This window comes from Homo sapiens, chromosome 11 (assembly GCF_000001405.40).
Source record: "Homo sapiens chromosome 11, GRCh38.p14 Primary Assembly".
NCBI classification, from domain to species: Eukaryota; Metazoa; Chordata; class Mammalia; order Primates; family Hominidae; genus Homo; species Homo sapiens.
Genome location: NC_000011.10, coordinates 64,710,421 through 64,726,363, shown reverse-complemented (window position 1 = coordinate 64,726,363; position 15,943 = coordinate 64,710,421). Strand labels below are relative to the sequence as shown.

Below are 15,943 nucleotides of genomic sequence, written 5' to 3'. Positions count from 1 at the left end.
ATGCATATTGATCCTGCTTTCAGCCTCCGGTGGTGGCTTCTCCCAACCCAGCTCTTCCCTCCTGAGCCTGCAGCACGGAGGTTTTGGGGGTCACTGCTACCTAAAGAAGGCTAAGGCCACTTCTGAGGCTGGTCTGGGAGTTTACTAAAGGTTCTGAAGCTGGGCCGGGCTGCCCCTGGGATCAGGAGACTCCAGACAGCAGTCCTGACAATGGGAACTACCTCCTCAGTCCCCCAAACTGGGAGGTGTCCCACAGCAGCTGTAGGATTGTCCTAGGGGTGGAGACCTGAGCACCTTCCACTCCAAAGCACAGTATCTGTGGGCCTGGCAGTGGCCTCAGTTCCCCCATGAGTGCCCCGGTCCCCCACCCCAGGGTTTCCCCACATCACATCCATCCCTGCTTTGAGACCCCACTCCCCCTGGCCTGTTCTTTATTTTGGGTCACTCCCTTCTCTTTCCTGGTCATATCTCTCCTGCAGGCCTACCCTGTGTTGGGCCCCCCAGCCCTGTCTCTGCATCGGGTGCCCCCCTGCCCCTCCTTCTGTCCTCAGCCCCCTCCGCCCTTCCCCCTCTTGAGGCTGTAATATCCGTTTCACGATTTGGGGGCTGAGTTGCTATAACAACAGACGGCGATTGTGTTGTGAAGAGCAGCTCGCTCCTGTGCCGCCTGCCTCCTGTGCTGCCTCCATCCCTGCAGCCCAGTCGGTTCCTCTTGGCTCCTCTCGTCACTACCCTCCAGTTCCAGTCTGGCCTCTTCCTGGTGTGTGTGTGTGTGTGTGTGTGTGTGTGTGTGTGTGTGTGTATGCATGCATGCATATGTGTGTCCAGGTCTGCCTGCCCGGGATGTGACAAGTAGCGGTCTTCATGGTTGCATGTGTCTGAATTTGGTGTCTGAGCTTCACATTGTATGCGCCTGTGTGCATGTGTGTGCATGGACATGCATGCTGTATCTGCTGTGTTTCCCCTCCCCCATGTGTCCCCACTGGCCTTTGCACATGGGAGAAGGGCATGTGCTCAGCATATCACTCAACTGTCCACATTGGGTGGGTACCTGTGTGTGGTGTGTGTGTGTGTGGGGTGTGTCTTGAAGTGGCAGGTCCCAAATGCTTAGGCAATCTGAACCTTGGACCTTGCAGAGAGGAGAGATGTCCCTGTAGGTGGGAGGGACAGGGAGATGCAGCAGCTGCCCGGTGACCTTTTCTGCCCTTGATGGGCAAAGCTGGGGGTAGGGAAAGGAGACAAGTGCTCATACTTACCTCCCTCCCTGCCCAGGCTCCTCTGTAAGGGTCTGAGTCTGTCTCTGTGAGCCATTGCATCTGTCTGTCTATGCCCTGATGCCTGGATGGACAAGGGGTGTGTGTGTGTGTGTGTGTGTGTGTGAGTGTGAGGAGGCTGCAGGAAGAGGAACAGTGGGGGATGGGCAGGAAAGTGGGCTGTGGGGTCAGGGAGGCGATTTCGCATTCATAGGCCCTGACGCAGCAGTTCCATTCTCTGGCTCCTTCATTGGCTTTGGTGGGGATGCCCTGGGGGTCTCTCCAAGGTCAGAGTGGGCCCTAAGTCTGGGACCTGGCTTAGGGATCACCCTTCTCGACTCCTAGGAAAAACTCCTTGCAGCCTGGGTCCCCCTCTTACCCCTTCACAGGCTGGGGAAGGAGTTTCCCACCCGGGGGGTTGGTGTCCGCATTAAGCCACTCAGTAATTGACCACTCTCTTTGAAGTGCCTGGGCAGGGGTCCAGGATGACTGTGGGCAGGTCCCCTGGGTGCAGCTGTTCTGGGCATGCATTAATTGCCTGGTGTAGGTACCTGTGTGCACAAGTGTGTGTGTTCTTGGGCAGTATATGCTTCCTGTGGGTGTGTTACCATGGTGGGGCATTTCTGCAGGTGTTCTTATGTGTCTCTGGGAATGCCCAGTGTTCACAGATATGTGTGCATGGCTGTGAGTGCCCCAATGTCCATGCATTGGTGGTTGAATGTAAGTGTTCTTGCATGTTGCCTCTGGCTAAGGAAGTGCCAACTACCACCAGCTGTGCAGATCACAGACCCTGCAACAGAAACCAGGGTCCTGGAGTGAGCTGGCAGAATGGTCTGGCACACATACACACACACACTCTGTCTCTCACTGTCTCATTCAGCAGCCCAGTGACCAACCTCGGGGTATACACACTAAGTGCCAGTGTGTGTACACTTTTATTGGCGGAGTGAGTGAAGGGTGTCCCCCAGTCCCCCACACTCATACACATGCACAGTGATGCATGTACCCTTACAGGAGAGACCTGCGCCCCCCAGCACCACTCTAACTGAAACTCATGGATGGGAGGAGGAGAACAGAGAAGGGGGCTGCTGCCAGGTGCCCTCAGTCACCAGGCATGTGCAGGCGCAACCCTGCCCCCACACCTACTCGTACCTCGGTCCAGGGTTCCAGGCAGAACTGAGAGTTTGGCCTCAAACTCTGGGATTCCCATGAGGCAGGACTGGGAAACCCCCAAGTTCCTAGGTCTACCCCGCCCCCATCTCTGCCTTTCCTTCCCCCACCGCCTCCGTCTTTATCCCAGCAAAGCCCCTTCCTCTTCAGTTCTGGGGGCTCCAAGCCAGGGGCCCTCCGGACGGTGGGAGGTGGGGGCCAGGCTACCGACTGGAAAAAGCCCCCAGCAGCCATGGACCCACCGAGTCCCCCTTCTCTAGGCTCCTCGAAGCCCGGGCCCGCCCCTGGGGGTAGCCAGCAGAGGGCGCTGCGGCCCAGGCCCCGCATCAGCCCTGCTCTCGCGGCGTCCCAAGTCGGGGTCCACAGCCTCTCCTTCGGCTTGTCCCAGCCCCGCGCTGCGCGAAGACCTGCTGGCCGTGGGGGGAGGGTGCGGGACCCAAGGCCCCGAACTAAGGGGCGAGGGGCGAGGGGCGAGAGTGCTTGGGTTCCCGGAAAAGACACTGAGGCCGGGTTTGGGGCCCGCCTGGTTGGGGGCCCGGGCGCCCGAGAACCTCGAGAGGCTGGGAGGAGCGCGGGTGCTGGGGCCGGGACGCCTGGGTCCCGCGCGAGGGAGGGAGTGGGCCTGTGGAGCCGCTGGACTGGCGGCTTCTGAGCCCTTGCATTGGCTGCGCTGCTCGCCCGTCAGCGCAGCGTGGTCCAATGCGCGCGTCTCGGGGGCGGGCACTGGTGCTGATGCTGCCGTCAGTCGGTGTTGCAGGGATGCGGCGGCGGGAGCAGCCGCCCTGACTCGCGGAGCATCCTCCTCGGAGAGGCACCGCGGCGGGGCGGGCGGGCGGGCGGGGACGCGGCGGGGAGGGAGAGAGGCGCGAGGCGGCAGACACCGCTAGCCCTGGCTCTGCCACCCGTCGGAGACGGGGCGGCCCTGTAGCTCTGCTACCCACCCTCCAGCTTCTGGCGCCCCGAGAACCAGGTAAAATGGGGGGGGGGGGGCGCTGCGGCGGAGACGGGCGGGGGGCGGGAGCCGATCGGGGGAGGGGAGCGGATCGGAGGGGGCGAGGGAGGCAGGACGGATGAATTGGGGGGCGGGGGCGCCGCGCTGAGAGGGCTGGCCCGGTGACAGCGAGGAGGCAAAGCCGCTGGGGGCTTGGGGGTCGGAGGCTCCTGTGGAAGGGGCACTGGCCCTGAGAGCTGAGGAGAATGGGGAGGGGTGGGAGGAAGGGTCTTTGGGGGAAGGGATGGAGAGAGGAGGGGCATCCAGAGGACTTAGAGGGGGTTCTTAAAGGGGGGTCCCCAGTCTGTGCTAGCCCCAGAGGCTTGAAGCAGCGCCGGGCCAGAGGAGCTGTTGTGTTCTGGAGGGTCTAACCAGCGAGAAACTGGGCTTCGTGGGAGGAGAGGAGAGGGGGCTGGAGAAGAGAGAGAAGTGGAGAGGGAAGGAAAGGGGCCAGGCCAAGGGCTTCGTCCTGAGGGGACCCACTGAGGACCAGGCTTTCCTGGGGGATGGGAGCCAAGGGGAGAAGAGGTTATTGGGAGAGAGCAGAGGGGAATGTGCCAAGGTGCTCCAGGCAGAGATGGGTCTGTGCTGGTGGAGAGCTGGGAAAGATGGGGTCTGAGGGAGAGGAGCGGAAGCTTGCGGGGGAAGGCTGGGGGTGATGAGACAGGGAGACTGGGAAATCAGTAGGAGGGGGCTTTGCTGGGGTGGGAATGCGCTGGGGGCGGTGACAGGGTTCTGGTCAGAGAGTGCTGCAGGGGGAGAGGAAGCTGCAGGGCCCTTGGCTTGCTCCCCCACCCCTAAAGAGGAAGGGACCATTTCTCATGTCCCAGCCTCCTCCCCCAGCTGAAGCAGCAATCTTCCCTGGGGTCTTTGGGTTGGGGTATGAGCCCTTGAACCCTTGATGGGCTTTTGGGGCACAATTGGCTTTGGGGTGCTGTTGTCTCCTTTACTCTCACCCCCCTCCTGAATCTTGGGAGAGGGCATTCGATGCCTCATTGAGCTAGCAAGGGCTGGGAGGGGCTTTTTCTTGGTGTCTGGAGGTGAAGGAGGAGGCTGTCCACCTGGAATAATGAAATAGATTTTTAGGGGGTGGGTCTTGGGTCCCCAGTCCCTTGGCTGCCCTGGGGGCTTCCAGATAGCCCTGTTTTTTCATGTGTTGGCGGGTGGGCGTCTCTCCTCTTCCATTCATTCTTATCCTTCCCTGTTGTCTACCTTCCCAGTGTCTGGGTGTTCCTTTTGGAGGAGGGTGGACATTAGGGTCTTACTTTCTCTGTCTTCTGCCAGAGAAGGAGAAAGAAAGAAGGGAGAGGGAAGGAGAAGGGGAGGGAGGTCTGCAGTCTGCTAACTGTGAGGCCTTCTGTTTTGTGGGTGCTTCAGCCCCTCAGTCCCTACCTCCTCTTGCTTCCAGGGATGGCTCTAGGGATGCTGGCATCTGAGGTGTGGCTGGATCTTTTGGGAGACAGGGGAGAAGGGTCTGGCTGGGGGCTCTTCATTCATGCTAGAGGAAGTGTTCTCAGACCCATCCTATCCTCAGATCCACAGGGGTGGGCGGGATGGACCAACCAGCCACGGCTGCCGGGCAGTTCTTTCCAGCCCAGGCCTGGGCTGAATCCATATGACATTGGAGTTCTGAGAGGAGGGGCTGGGTGCGCGAGTGGCTGGTGGGGACCCCTCTTTCCTTCCAGGCTCAGTCACTACCCAGGTCCAGCTGCTCCCTCCCGCTTACCCTTGCCAGTGACACAGACACTCTGACAATGATACACGCGCTCGGTGGCACCCACCCAGACACACACCTACACAGGCACACACACCTGCGTACACAATACACCTCCTGGCAGCATACAGCCCACACTCCCCACCCAGAGAGGCTGCCACCTCATGCCTGCCTCCTTGAGACCTCCCCCAGGTGCCTTGCTGCCATGTACACAACACACACACGGCCACTACGTGCCCCCAGAGCCCCCAGCGCAGCACTGCCAGCCCTCACCCTTGGATGCACACAGCCCCCATCCAACCACTCACCTCCCCAGGCTCACAGCCATCGCAGGCACACCTGTGCTTCTTCCTCATACACCTTCAGTCCTTGCAACACACCCTCTCCTTCCAGACACCCCATCCCTCCCAGGTCTACACAGCATGTGGGCACACCCTCCCAGACACACCAGTCCCTGCCCCCCAGCAAGCTCATCCTGAAGTACCATGTGCATGTCTGTCTGGGTGCTGAACACCTTGCCCCAGGCCTTTGTGTGTGTGCACGTGTGTGTGCACACCAGCACATGTTTGCTAACACACTTAATGCTGTGGCTCACCCCCTAAACCTCTCTTCTACTTTCTCTCTCTCTCACTCACTTATCTTTGTACCTTCGGCGCAGGGCCTCCTACCCCTCCTGGCCACAACCACGACCCTTCCCAGTGGAGTCCAGCCCCCACCTACACCTGGTTTCCCTGGGAGCCTTCCCATTTCTAAGTGGCCCCACCCCCCGCATTAATCCTCAGGCACAAGGGCCCCTACACCTGCCTGTGCACTGGAGACACTGTCCTTTCATTCGCAGCTCCCAAGCCCAGCCCCCACGGGGATGCCCCGATTGTGTGTCCTCACACGCCACCCACCTTGCTGCTCCATCTGTTGGTGCAGCTCCCTCGCCCCTGCCCCTTCCACACTGATGGGCCTGTGGGCTCTCGGAGACTCATTCAACAAATAGTCTGGTGCACACTTTCAAGGATGTGTGTGGCACCTTGTTATTTACGAAGCTGCTTCCCCACTGCCACCACCACTGTTTGGCATGGTGGGGTGAGGGTGAAGGTGGGACTCCGCTGTGCTCCTCAGTGAGCCTCAGTTTCCTCACGTGTGAAATGGGATCCTCATCCCTACCTAGTGGGATGTTATGAGGACTCACTGAGAGGACAATGATGGCAATGATAGTAGTAACAAGCATGTTTATTGTGTACCTACTGTGTGCCTGGCCTTGTGCGAAGCACTCTGTAAACCTTACTTTGAGGTATTTGTAAGACACATAGAAGGTCCCCGTAAATGGTAGCTATTTTTATTGTCATTATCATAACCTTCCCTGCACGCACACACACGCGCACACACCTGTCATAGATACCTTTAGGAACATTCCCAGGCACCTCATGCTTACTCACAAGGCCGCCCCTGGAAGCCATCTGTCCCCCTCTGCATCACTGGGGTGCACCCGCCCAGGCTGCTGTGCCCCAGCTGTGCACAGCATAGGTAAGCTTGGTGCTCATCCCTCCCACCACCTACCTCCATGCTCCCATGCACCTGTCCTCCGGCCCCCACTCCACCAAGTCATTCCATTGCACCTCTGTCCCCAGCCCACCCGCTTCCCCAGCTCCATGAGGCGGCAGCAGCCTCATCCTGTGCACCCCGAGCTACCAGCTCCTGGGCCCAGCCCGCTCCATGCTTCTCTCCATGACACAGAGAGCTGCTTGGCGACCTGCAGACATGGCCGCTCATGCCCAGCCCACCCTGGCATGGGACTCCGACTTATCTTTAGACCTGTTTGTTCCTTCTACTGCCCTCTGAGTCAGGACAATTGACCAGCAGAGTTGAGGAGGACACGAGGGATAGGGATTAGACAGAACCAAATCTGAATCCCAGCTCTGCCATTTATGATTTGTGGGACCTTGGGTGGGTCCCTTCTCCCCTTTGAGTATCTATTTCCTCATCTGTAAAAGGGGCAGTGATAATACTTGTCTTGCTTACTTTTCTCACCAAGCCCTGGTGAGGATCAGAGGAAACACTAGGCACTCGGTACTGCAAACTGTAAAAGGCCGAGATGAGAAGTTTTAAAAAAATCATTAATACGACACACTTTTTTTTCACACGTTAGTCTATGCCAGGCAGTGTACTAGGAGCTTTATGTATGTTAATTCTAATTTTGACAACACTATTATTATCTCTATTTTATACATAAAGAAAGTGAAGCACAGAGAGGCTGAGTAACTTACCAAAGGTCACACAGCTGGATAGGGGTAGAGCTGGCATTTGAACCCAGGCTTCAGAGCCAGTGCCTCTAACCACTGTGCTGTCTTGTTTTTGCTGCTGCTGAGGTTGTGGCTGGGTGTGGAAAGGCATGGGGTCTTCCCTTTTTTCTGCCAGATCATCACGGCTGGAAGGAAGGGGGAGGTAGGAACTGTTCACCGTCTGCCAATCTTGCCTGGAATTTCACGGGGGAAAGGGGACCCTCCAAAAAACATTCTGCACCTGAAAAGGACCTCAGGGGTCAAGCAGTCTGCTGTCCTCTTCCATATGATTCAAGAGCCTCCCCCACACCGAGCCTCTCTGAGCAGCAGTCATCCGGTCTCACCTCGAACACCCCCACAGACGGGGAACTCACCACCCCCCGAGGCAGCCTACTCCACTGTTGGATGCTTTAGATTGCCAGCCAGCAAGTTTCTCTTTAGCCTGAGCCAGAATCTCCCCCCATAGCACGCACTTCTCCCACCTGTCCACGGGCTGCCTTCTGGGGCCACCAGAATGTGTGTAAACCCAGCTCTTCCTCCCTGGCGCCTGGAGGAGGCCCCTGCTGTCTCACTCCCAGCTGGCATGAGAGGATGCTGGCGTGAGGAGAGGAGAGCCAGAGGGAGGCCGGCATCCCCATGGCTGGAGGTGTGTGTATGGGCGTGTGTTTGTGTGTGTGGGCATTGACAGAGAGGGGGCTGTGTGGATGCGGGGAGAGGGCCCCTGGCCAGGGGCTCTGCTTGTGTGGGCATGGATCACCATTTGCATACTTGCCCCTGATGGCGTAGGGCTGAGGCCTTTGGTCAGGTTGGAGGGCCCAGGTCTAGGTCAGCAAGTGCAAGGGGAAATGTCTGGAAGGGAAGGCCAGCGACTTTGGTTCTAGTCTTGCTTTTCTGTGTGATCCCAGGCCAGCTCACTGCCCCTCCCTGGGACTCAGTTTCCACATCAGGAAAAAAAAGAGAAGATGAACCCCATGAGCTCTGAGATCTCTGTCTCCCAGTCCCAGGAGTGGGCTTTAGAGTGGGGCACCTGAGAGAGCTATGTCCCCTGTGAAGGCCAGATCAGAGGAGGGTGGGCTCTGAGCCCCAGACACAGGGGAAAAGAAATGCCTTGGAGCCCTCACACCCTTTACCTGGACTGTGGCCTTGGGCAAGTGAATTCATCGTTCTAAGCTCAGCTTCCTGGTCTGTAAGCCTGAGTGACAAAATGACCTCCTAGAAGCCGAAGGATTGACTAAGACAGCGCACATGGGGTCCAGCCTGGTGTCTGATGCAGACGGAGCCCAAAGCTTGCAGCCCAGAGGCTTCAGTGGCACTGGCCTCGCCGTGGGAAAATGAGGAGGAGGCTTTGGCCTAGGAGGACCCAGGAAGAGTTATCGGGAGAGGGTAATGTTGAGTTATCGGGAGAGGGTAATGTTGGGGAGAGTCAGCAGAAGTCCTGAGGGCAGCCTAGCCACCCCCTGCCCCACCCACTCCAGCTCTGGGCACCACTGGCCCAAGGCTGCTGAGTCTATCTGTGGGTAGGGGCAGGGTGGGAGGCACTAGGGAGCTGACTGGGTACAGAACCCCAGGATTACTCAGGAGGTCGGCTCCCCAGAGGTGTGGCGGCTCTGGGCCAGCAGTGGGTGGCAGTGTGCACTGCACTGACGTCAGTGAGCAGACAGGTACCCCAGGGTCACCCTGGCAGTGTCCCTGCACTGGCAGTGGGCAATGGAAGAAGAAAAGTGGGCCTTGCGGGGGCAGTACTTGGACGCTGTGGGTGCAAGGCGGCTTCCTCTGCACTGCATAAACCTGGGGAGGAGCTGTTGCCTTGTACAACTCCAGGGGACACCGTTTACTTGATGTGGTCGTGTGAGGCAATTACCCTGGCCTGTGGGGAGACCTCTGGAGAAAGGGTTGCTGCTAAGTTCCAGGAGCTCAGGAAGGATGGAGCATCCCAGGGTAGCAGGAGCCCCCTGTATTCTGGGAGAAGGGTGGGTTGGAGGCTGGGTCGGCAGCAGCCTTGGCCTGGGTGGGAGAGGCGCAGGGAGGGGAAAGGCGAGGGGAAGAGCAGCAAGTTTCCTGGACACTGGGCGGGGGAATGGAAAGGACCCAGGTGTCCGCTGGCTCACTCCTCCTGGGACCATCTCTACCTGGCAAGCGTGAAGCTGCCCCAAGGGTCTGTGGATCCCGGGGGAGAGAGGACTCAGGGAGTGCTGGGGCTTCCTCCTGGTTAGCTCCGCAGTCCCTGTGCCCCCAGAGGCCTGGCTGGCCTCTGCTGCAGAGCTGTGGGCTGCGGGAAGAATGAGTAATGAGCCTTGAGGGGCCGCAGGCCCAGACCCTGCTTCCGACCCTCCCTGGAGGCACCACATAAGCCCAGCCTCTGCCCCTGAACCGGCTCACAGAAGCCTGCCTGCACGGCACCCCTCCCACTCTCCCTCCACACGGACCAGTAGAACCTCCACCTCCTGGACTCTCAGCCGCTTCGCCCCCCTGCCCCTCCACCCAGATAACATTCCCTTTGGCTCTCAGGACCCAGGCGTCTGCCTTCCAGCCTCTGGCAGCCTCCCTACCATCTTTCACTCTATCTGTCCTCCCCCAACTTCCTGCCCCTCGCCTTTCCCACAGAACCCGTCTGCCATCTCCCTAAAGGGTGGTGGATGTGGCCATGGCAGGGGGACTGGGATGGGGGTGGGGCGGGGGAAACAGTCCCTCCTGTTCTGAGCTTGGGGATGACTGGACAGCAGCACGAAATCCTTTTCCCTCCGCCAGCGGAAATCGATAGCTAATTAATTCCCTCCCCAAAATAGTGTCCGGAGGTGGGGGTGGATGCTGGGAGAGCAGCAGACAGAGGCTAGGCCAGGCCAGACTGAGATGGAGACCCTAGCAGGGAAGGAGGAAGGGAGGCTGGTCACTCTTCTGGCCACAGGGTTGTCCCTTTGCTGAGGGTCTTTGGCTACCGCTTCTGGAAAAGAGGGAAAGCTTAGACCTTTCCCTCCCCCCATGCCTGAGGAGCCCCCTTCCCTGCCCTGGGCTGGGGATGCTTGTGTGTGGGGGGGTGAGGGCGTCAATCAGGCTGGGAGCAGGTGCTGCATTTAATTTGATTGGCTAATTAGCCCGCACATGTTAATTATCTCCATTACCCAATGAGGAGAGGCAGTGGCAAGGCTATATATAACCCGACAGTGTTTGTAAGGAGTGGGGGTTGCTTGCCTGGATCTCCTCCCCACTGCCCGGGCAGAGGCAGTCCTTGGAGGGGTGTTGGGGCAGGACATTCAGGTCCCCATTGGAGCCTTGTAGGATTGGGAGGGCAGCAGTCAGGAGCTGGATGGCAGGACCCGAGGGCTGAGCTTTACCGGCCTCTTGGAGATGGCTCCCCCAACGCTCCCGACTACCTTCTGAGGCCTTTTCTGCCCCATCTTCCTCTGCACACGTGTCACTCTCCAGACGCCCCCTCACTATGGTTTTTTAGGGGGTCCCTCGTTTCCTTCCACATAGCTCTTCAGCTCCTCACTGCACCTCTGCAGCCTTCCCCTCCCGAAGTCAGCCCTCTCCTTATCTTCTGGTTCTCACCTCACTGAGCTACACCTGTGGCTATCCTGTGCTTGTCTATTTCCTGGGGATGCTGCAGTCGAGCAGACTTGGATCTGAGTCTCAGTTCCCCGCTGACTGGCCGTGTGACCTTGGGCAAGTCCCCAGATCCCTTTACCTGGGTTTCCCCAGTGGTTAATGAGAATAATGGGACTTCTCAGAGTGATTAAGTAAAATGACATTTGTAAAAATGCCCAGCACCCAGGGCTCTGACAAATGCTGTTTGGATTTGGAATTTAATTTTCTCTGTCTTTTCTTTCATTTCTCCCCACTAGGCCACCTTTCTCCTCCATTACTCTTCCATCTCTGTTACTTTCCAGGCGCTTCCTCTCCTTCCTCTTTCTCTCCCCTCTTCCTTCAGTCTTTCCCTGTCTCTTCCTAAACTCTAGCCCCTCCCTGCTTCTCTCCCAGGCTTCTCCCCACCTCCTTCTCTCCCTCCCTCCCCAAAATAAAATCAATGCAATATTCAGGAGGGTTGTTGGATATAAATAATTACGACTTGGAGTTTAACGAGATGCAAATTCCCCTCCCCGGCGTGGGGTATAAATTGCTCTCTGACAGCCCGTTACAAGGGTAATCATTTCAGAAAGGCAATTTTATGCAAATGAGCCTGCCTGCCTCCTGGTGGCTCCCCCAATCTTGGGTGGGGGGTGGGCAGAGGGAACTGAGGGGTAAAGAGAGCCCAGGTAGTGGGGCCAGTCCTGAGGCTGAGCACTGAGAGCTGGAAGTTGAGGATGACAGACATTTAGCTTCAGAAAGGACCTGGGTTGGTAAGCAGTGAGGCTGGGGCCTGGGAAGGGGTGAGCGTGGTTTCGGGGGAACTGGAGACACAGAATTGGATGCCTGAGTCCCTGCTTGGATGGAGAGGGCTTGGGGCCTGGATATCTGGGTCCTGGCTGGCTTCTCTCCCTTGCCCCCTTCCCAGTCTGGTTACCCTGTGATACCATCGACGAATTGGCATTTAATTAATCCCAATGAATTATTTAGCAACTTCATTATCCAGTATCAAGAGCTGATGAGAGGAACAGTGGCTGGAGGTGGGAGCCAGGCAGAGGCTGGGCGGTTCAGAGAAGGGGCTGGGGTCACCAGGCGGAGGAGAGTTCCCAGGCCTCGCTCAAGGAGCTGGCCTTGGTCCTTCCTGACACTGGGGTCCTTTGAGAGGGTGAGGGAGCGGGCTGAGGTTGGGCTCCTGCCGGGCTCGAACGTGTCACCTCTCCCTGTCCACATCTCAAACCAATGCTGCCCCTAGTGCGTGCCATCTCTCCTAAGTGCTGGCCCCCGGAATCCGCGTCTCTTGCCTCGGGACCCTCTGCAGGTCAGGGCCTCTCTAAGTTCTGCAGGGAAACAGTCTGGTGCCTGCTGATATGCGTGGGGAGCCCGGCACCGACGGCCCCTCTCGTTGGACCTTTCCTCTCTGTTCTCATTAACCCTTTCCTCTCTGTTCTCCCGCAGGCATCCCTCCCTGCTCTTCTGTCGGAGCCCGCGGCGGGGGAGGGGCGCCGCCGCCGCCGCCTGAGGGAAGCCGGCATCTGGGCCTCTGCGCGCCTCGCCCCGCGGCCGGGCCCATGGCACTGTGAGCCTGCAAGGGAGCCCCGCTCAGCGCGGGGAGCGCCCGGCCCCCTCCCGCCCCATGCGCCCGCGGCTCTGAAGCCTGAGCGGGGGCCGGGGGCCGGGCGGGGCCGGGGCCGCCGTAGGCATGGCGTCCGGGAGCCGGTGGCGGCCGACACCGCCGCCGCTGCTGTTGCTGCTGCTGCTGGCGCTGGCGGCGCGCGCGGACGGCCTGGAGTTCGGCGGCGGCCCCGGGCAGTGGGCTCGCTACGCGCGCTGGGCGGGCGCGGCGAGCAGCGGCGAGCTCAGCTTCAGCCTGCGCACCAACGCCACGCGCGCGCTGCTGCTCTACCTGGACGACGGCGGCGACTGCGACTTCCTGGAGCTGCTGCTGGTGGACGGCCGCCTGCGGCTGCGCTTCACGCTTTCGTGCGCCGAGCCGGCCACGCTGCAGCTGGACACGCCGGTGGCCGACGACCGCTGGCACATGGTGCTGCTGACCCGCGACGCGCGCCGCACGGCGCTGGCGGTGGACGGCGAGGCCCGCGCCGCCGAGGTGCGCTCCAAGCGGCGCGAGATGCAGGTGGCCAGCGACCTGTTCGTGGGCGGCATCCCGCCCGACGTGCGCCTCTCGGCGCTTACGCTGAGCACCGTCAAGTACGAGCCGCCCTTCCGCGGCCTCTTGGCCAACCTGAAGCTGGGCGAGCGGCCCCCCGCGCTGCTGGGCAGCCAGGGCCTGCGCGGCGCCACCGCCGACCCGCTGTGCGCGCCCGCGCGCAACCCCTGCGCCAACGGCGGCCTCTGCACCGTGCTGGCCCCCGGCGAGGTGGGCTGCGACTGCAGCCACACGGGCTTCGGCGGCAAGTTCTGCAGCGAAGGTGAGCCCCGGGGAGCGGCCGCCCGGTGCCTGGGCGCGGGGGTGAGGGCCTGGGGCGCTTCGTGGGGGTCGGAGTGTGTGTGGGCTCCTGAGGCACGGGGGCTGGGCACGAGGGCTTGTGAGTGGGTGCGAGCGCTCCAGGGCTGCGGGGACGCGTGTCCGGGCGAGGGCGCGTGGGGTTGGCGGTGGGCGGGGCGAGTGGGCGGGGCCGGCTTGGGCGTGGTCAGCGTGAGTCCTGCGGCGACCTGTGGGCAGCCTGTGTGGTCAGGTTCTGAAGGGGCTGCTGAGGGTGGGGTGCATGAAGCCCCGTGGGCTTGGTGGGTGAGGGTCTGTGAGGCGTTCGTGAAGGCTTGTGGGTGGGGGTCTGCGTGGACAGGGCCCATTAAAGGCAGTGGGCGGGGACCATGGGGCCCCTGAAGGACAGTGGGTGGGGCTTGTGCATAGGGCGGGGCCTCGTATGAGGCCGTGAGGGGTGGTGAGTGGGGCTGGCGTGGAAAGGCCAGTGTGGGTGGGGCTTATGAGACAGGGGGCGGGACCTCGTGTGAGGCCGTGAGGGGCTGTGAGTGGGGCCTGTGTGGAAGGCCAGTGTGGGCTGGGCCTATGAAACAGGGAGCAGGACCTCGTGTGAGACCGTGAGGGCCTATGAGTAGGGCCTGTGTGGAAGGCCAGTGTGGTCAGGGCCTACAAGACAGGGCAGACCTTGTGTGAGGCTGTGAGGGGGTGAGTGGGGTCTGTGTGGAAGGCCAGTGTGGGCGGGGCCTGTGAGACAGGGGGCGGGGCCCCATGTGAAACGGTGAGGGGCTGAGTGGGGCCTGTGTGGAAAGGCCAGTGTGGGCAGGGCCTACGAGACAGGGGGCGAGGCCGTGTGGCGGGGCTTTGGGGCAGGGAGCGTAGTCGACAGTGGGTCGCAGTCTTTGAAGGTCCGCGAGCCAAGGGCGGGAAGTGCGGCCTGTGCGGCCTGGACAAGCACTAAGGGATGAGGGCCTAGGCGTGAGGACGCTGAGTGTGAGAAGGGCACGATGGCGATTCCAGCGCAGGCGAGGGAGAATGGGGATTGCGAGGCTGTGGCCAGGAAGCGAGTGTTTCTTTTTCACCACAAAATCCTCAGAGCGCCTCCGAAGAGTAAAGGGAAAACGAGGGAGAGGGTGGCTGAGGCTTCTCAGGCTCTTGACGAGGAGTGGACAGTTTGGGTGAGGGTCAGAGATGGCCAATAGTCTCTCTTGATGACAGACGGGGCGTGGAACCCCTGAGAGCGTGGGGTTTGATGGGAGATTGCTGGGCTGGACAGGGCGAGGTGGGACCCTGGGCCGTGGGGCTGACTATGGAATGGCGCTTGGGAGAGAGGCTCACCGGAGGGAGGGGTCCGGCCAGCACCCGCGCTGCCCGGAGGCCGAGAGTCTGGCCAAGACCGTGAAGTGGTGAAGTGCGGGCGGGTCCTGGGCTGAGCGGCCCGGGGCGGGGCTGTGGTGTCGGGGGGCAGGGGGCGCTGAGGAGAGGAAGCACTGGGAGGAGCCTCTTCCATTAGGGTCTGGCTGGGCGTGGGGAGGGGCTCCCCCATCGGTCTGGGGGCGGCGCATGCGCGTCTCTCCCCGCCCCTCGTCCCTGTTCTTCCAGCTCGTGTGTGCCTCAGGCCTGACGTTCTCTCCCCTGGTCCCTCTAGAAGCTGTGGGCCACTCAGCGGTTGTGTGTGTGTGTCCGTCCCCCCAGAGTCAGAGGCTTTTGAGGGAGCGTGTGCATGTGCACGTGTGCGCTGGCAACATGAATGTGGCCCGGCACTGCTTTGGGGATAGGTGTCCTGTGGCTGTGTGCCTGTGGACAGCCATGGGAGGGCCCAGCCTGCAGGTGTGGCCCTGGGTGTGGGAAGTCTGCACTTGGGAGAGTCGTTTGCCTGTGTATCTGTAGTTGTGGTCGATGAATACATCCAAAAGTTCTGGGGATTGTTTTCTTGGGGTTATTGGTACAAGGTTGTGGGTTACGTCATCAGGAACTGTGTATTAAGTTAAGCTGACACCTTCTCACCCTTTCTCCAAGGAGTTCAGCTGTTTCCTAAACTGTGAAATTCTGTGTCGGTGTGTGTTTGCCTGCGTGTAGAGGCCCGCGAGTCTGGCAGTGTGTATTTGACGTGTGAATGGGTCTGTTTGAATACCAGTGTTTGCAGATAGAGGAGTCTAGTGCCTAGTAGAGTGAGTAGTTCCCAAGTGTGAGGGTGTCTGCTCATGTGCTTGTGTTTTAACGTGAGGCCTCAGTAAGACAGCCGGATTGCATGAGGACTCTTTCTTTCCAGAACCTTAATTTGATCCTCTGGTTCCTCTACCCTTCCCCCAAAGCCTGCCTAAGAAAACAGGATGAATCATCCTCTGATTTGATGGAGGGAAAGCTCGAGCTACGGGAGGTTAGGGTAACCGGTCCCTGGCCTCACTGTGGCTGAATTGGGCTTGGGTGTGTGAAAAATGCAGCCAGAGGCACCTTGGTCAACCAGAGCCTTTGTATCCATTCCCTGAGAGGATTCATTGGCCAGAGGCTTCCAGTGAGGCAAACAAGTGCATGCTT

The 15,943-nt window shown here is 60.1% G+C and overlaps 1 protein-coding gene across 7 annotated transcripts in view, besides 5 other annotated features; it reads left to right on the top strand.

The window, feature by feature from the left end:
- Positions 229-1,067: an enhancer, noted in NCBI's record as "H3K4me1 hESC enhancer chr11:64492769-64493607 (GRCh37/hg19 assembly coordinates)". NCBI's record gives its function as "activates a minimal SCP1, AML or CMV promoter by ChIP-STARR-seq in naive H9 embryonic stem cells {active_cell/tissue: H9 hESC(naive)}" and the evidence as "EXISTENCE:reporter gene assay evidence [ECO:0000049][PMID:30033119]".
- Positions 2,277-2,326: an enhancer, noted in NCBI's record as "active region_4908". NCBI's record gives its function as "activates an Ori minimal core promoter by ATAC-STARR-seq in GM12878 lymphoblastoid cells {active_cell/tissue: GM12878}" and the evidence as "EXISTENCE:reporter gene assay evidence [ECO:0000049][PMID:35858748]".
- Positions 2,707-3,006: a silencer, noted in NCBI's record as "silent region_3481". NCBI's record gives its function as "represses an Ori minimal core promoter by ATAC-STARR-seq in GM12878 lymphoblastoid cells {active_cell/tissue: GM12878}" and the evidence as "EXISTENCE:reporter gene assay evidence [ECO:0000049][PMID:35858748]".
- Positions 2,993-3,287: a silencer, noted in NCBI's record as "tiled region #4107; HepG2 Repressive DNase unmatched - State 4:PromP". NCBI's record gives its function as "represses a minimal TATA promoter and a strong SV40 promoter by Sharpr-MPRA in HepG2 cells {active_cell/tissue: HepG2}" and the evidence as "EXISTENCE:reporter gene assay evidence [ECO:0000049][PMID:27701403]".
- The window catches only part of NRXN2 (neurexin 2), a 117,024-nt gene continuing 104,247 nt past the window's right edge, over positions 3,167-15,943 (top strand). For all 7 annotated transcript variants that reach the window (NM_138732.3, NM_001376266.1, NM_001376265.1 and 4 more), the window contains exons 1-2: positions 3,167-3,393; positions 12,421-13,394. In NM_138732.3, coding sequence (NP_620060.1) covers positions 12,665-13,394 — 730 coding nt within the window. In that variant the 5' untranslated portion in view covers positions 3,167-3,393; positions 12,421-12,664. The remainder of the gene's footprint in view (positions 3,394-12,420; positions 13,395-15,943) is intronic.
- Positions 12,457-13,240: an enhancer, noted in NCBI's record as "H3K27ac-H3K4me1 hESC enhancer chr11:64480596-64481379 (GRCh37/hg19 assembly coordinates)". NCBI's record gives its function as "activates a minimal SCP1, AML or CMV promoter by ChIP-STARR-seq in naive H9 embryonic stem cells {active_cell/tissue: H9 hESC(naive)}" and the evidence as "EXISTENCE:reporter gene assay evidence [ECO:0000049][PMID:30033119]".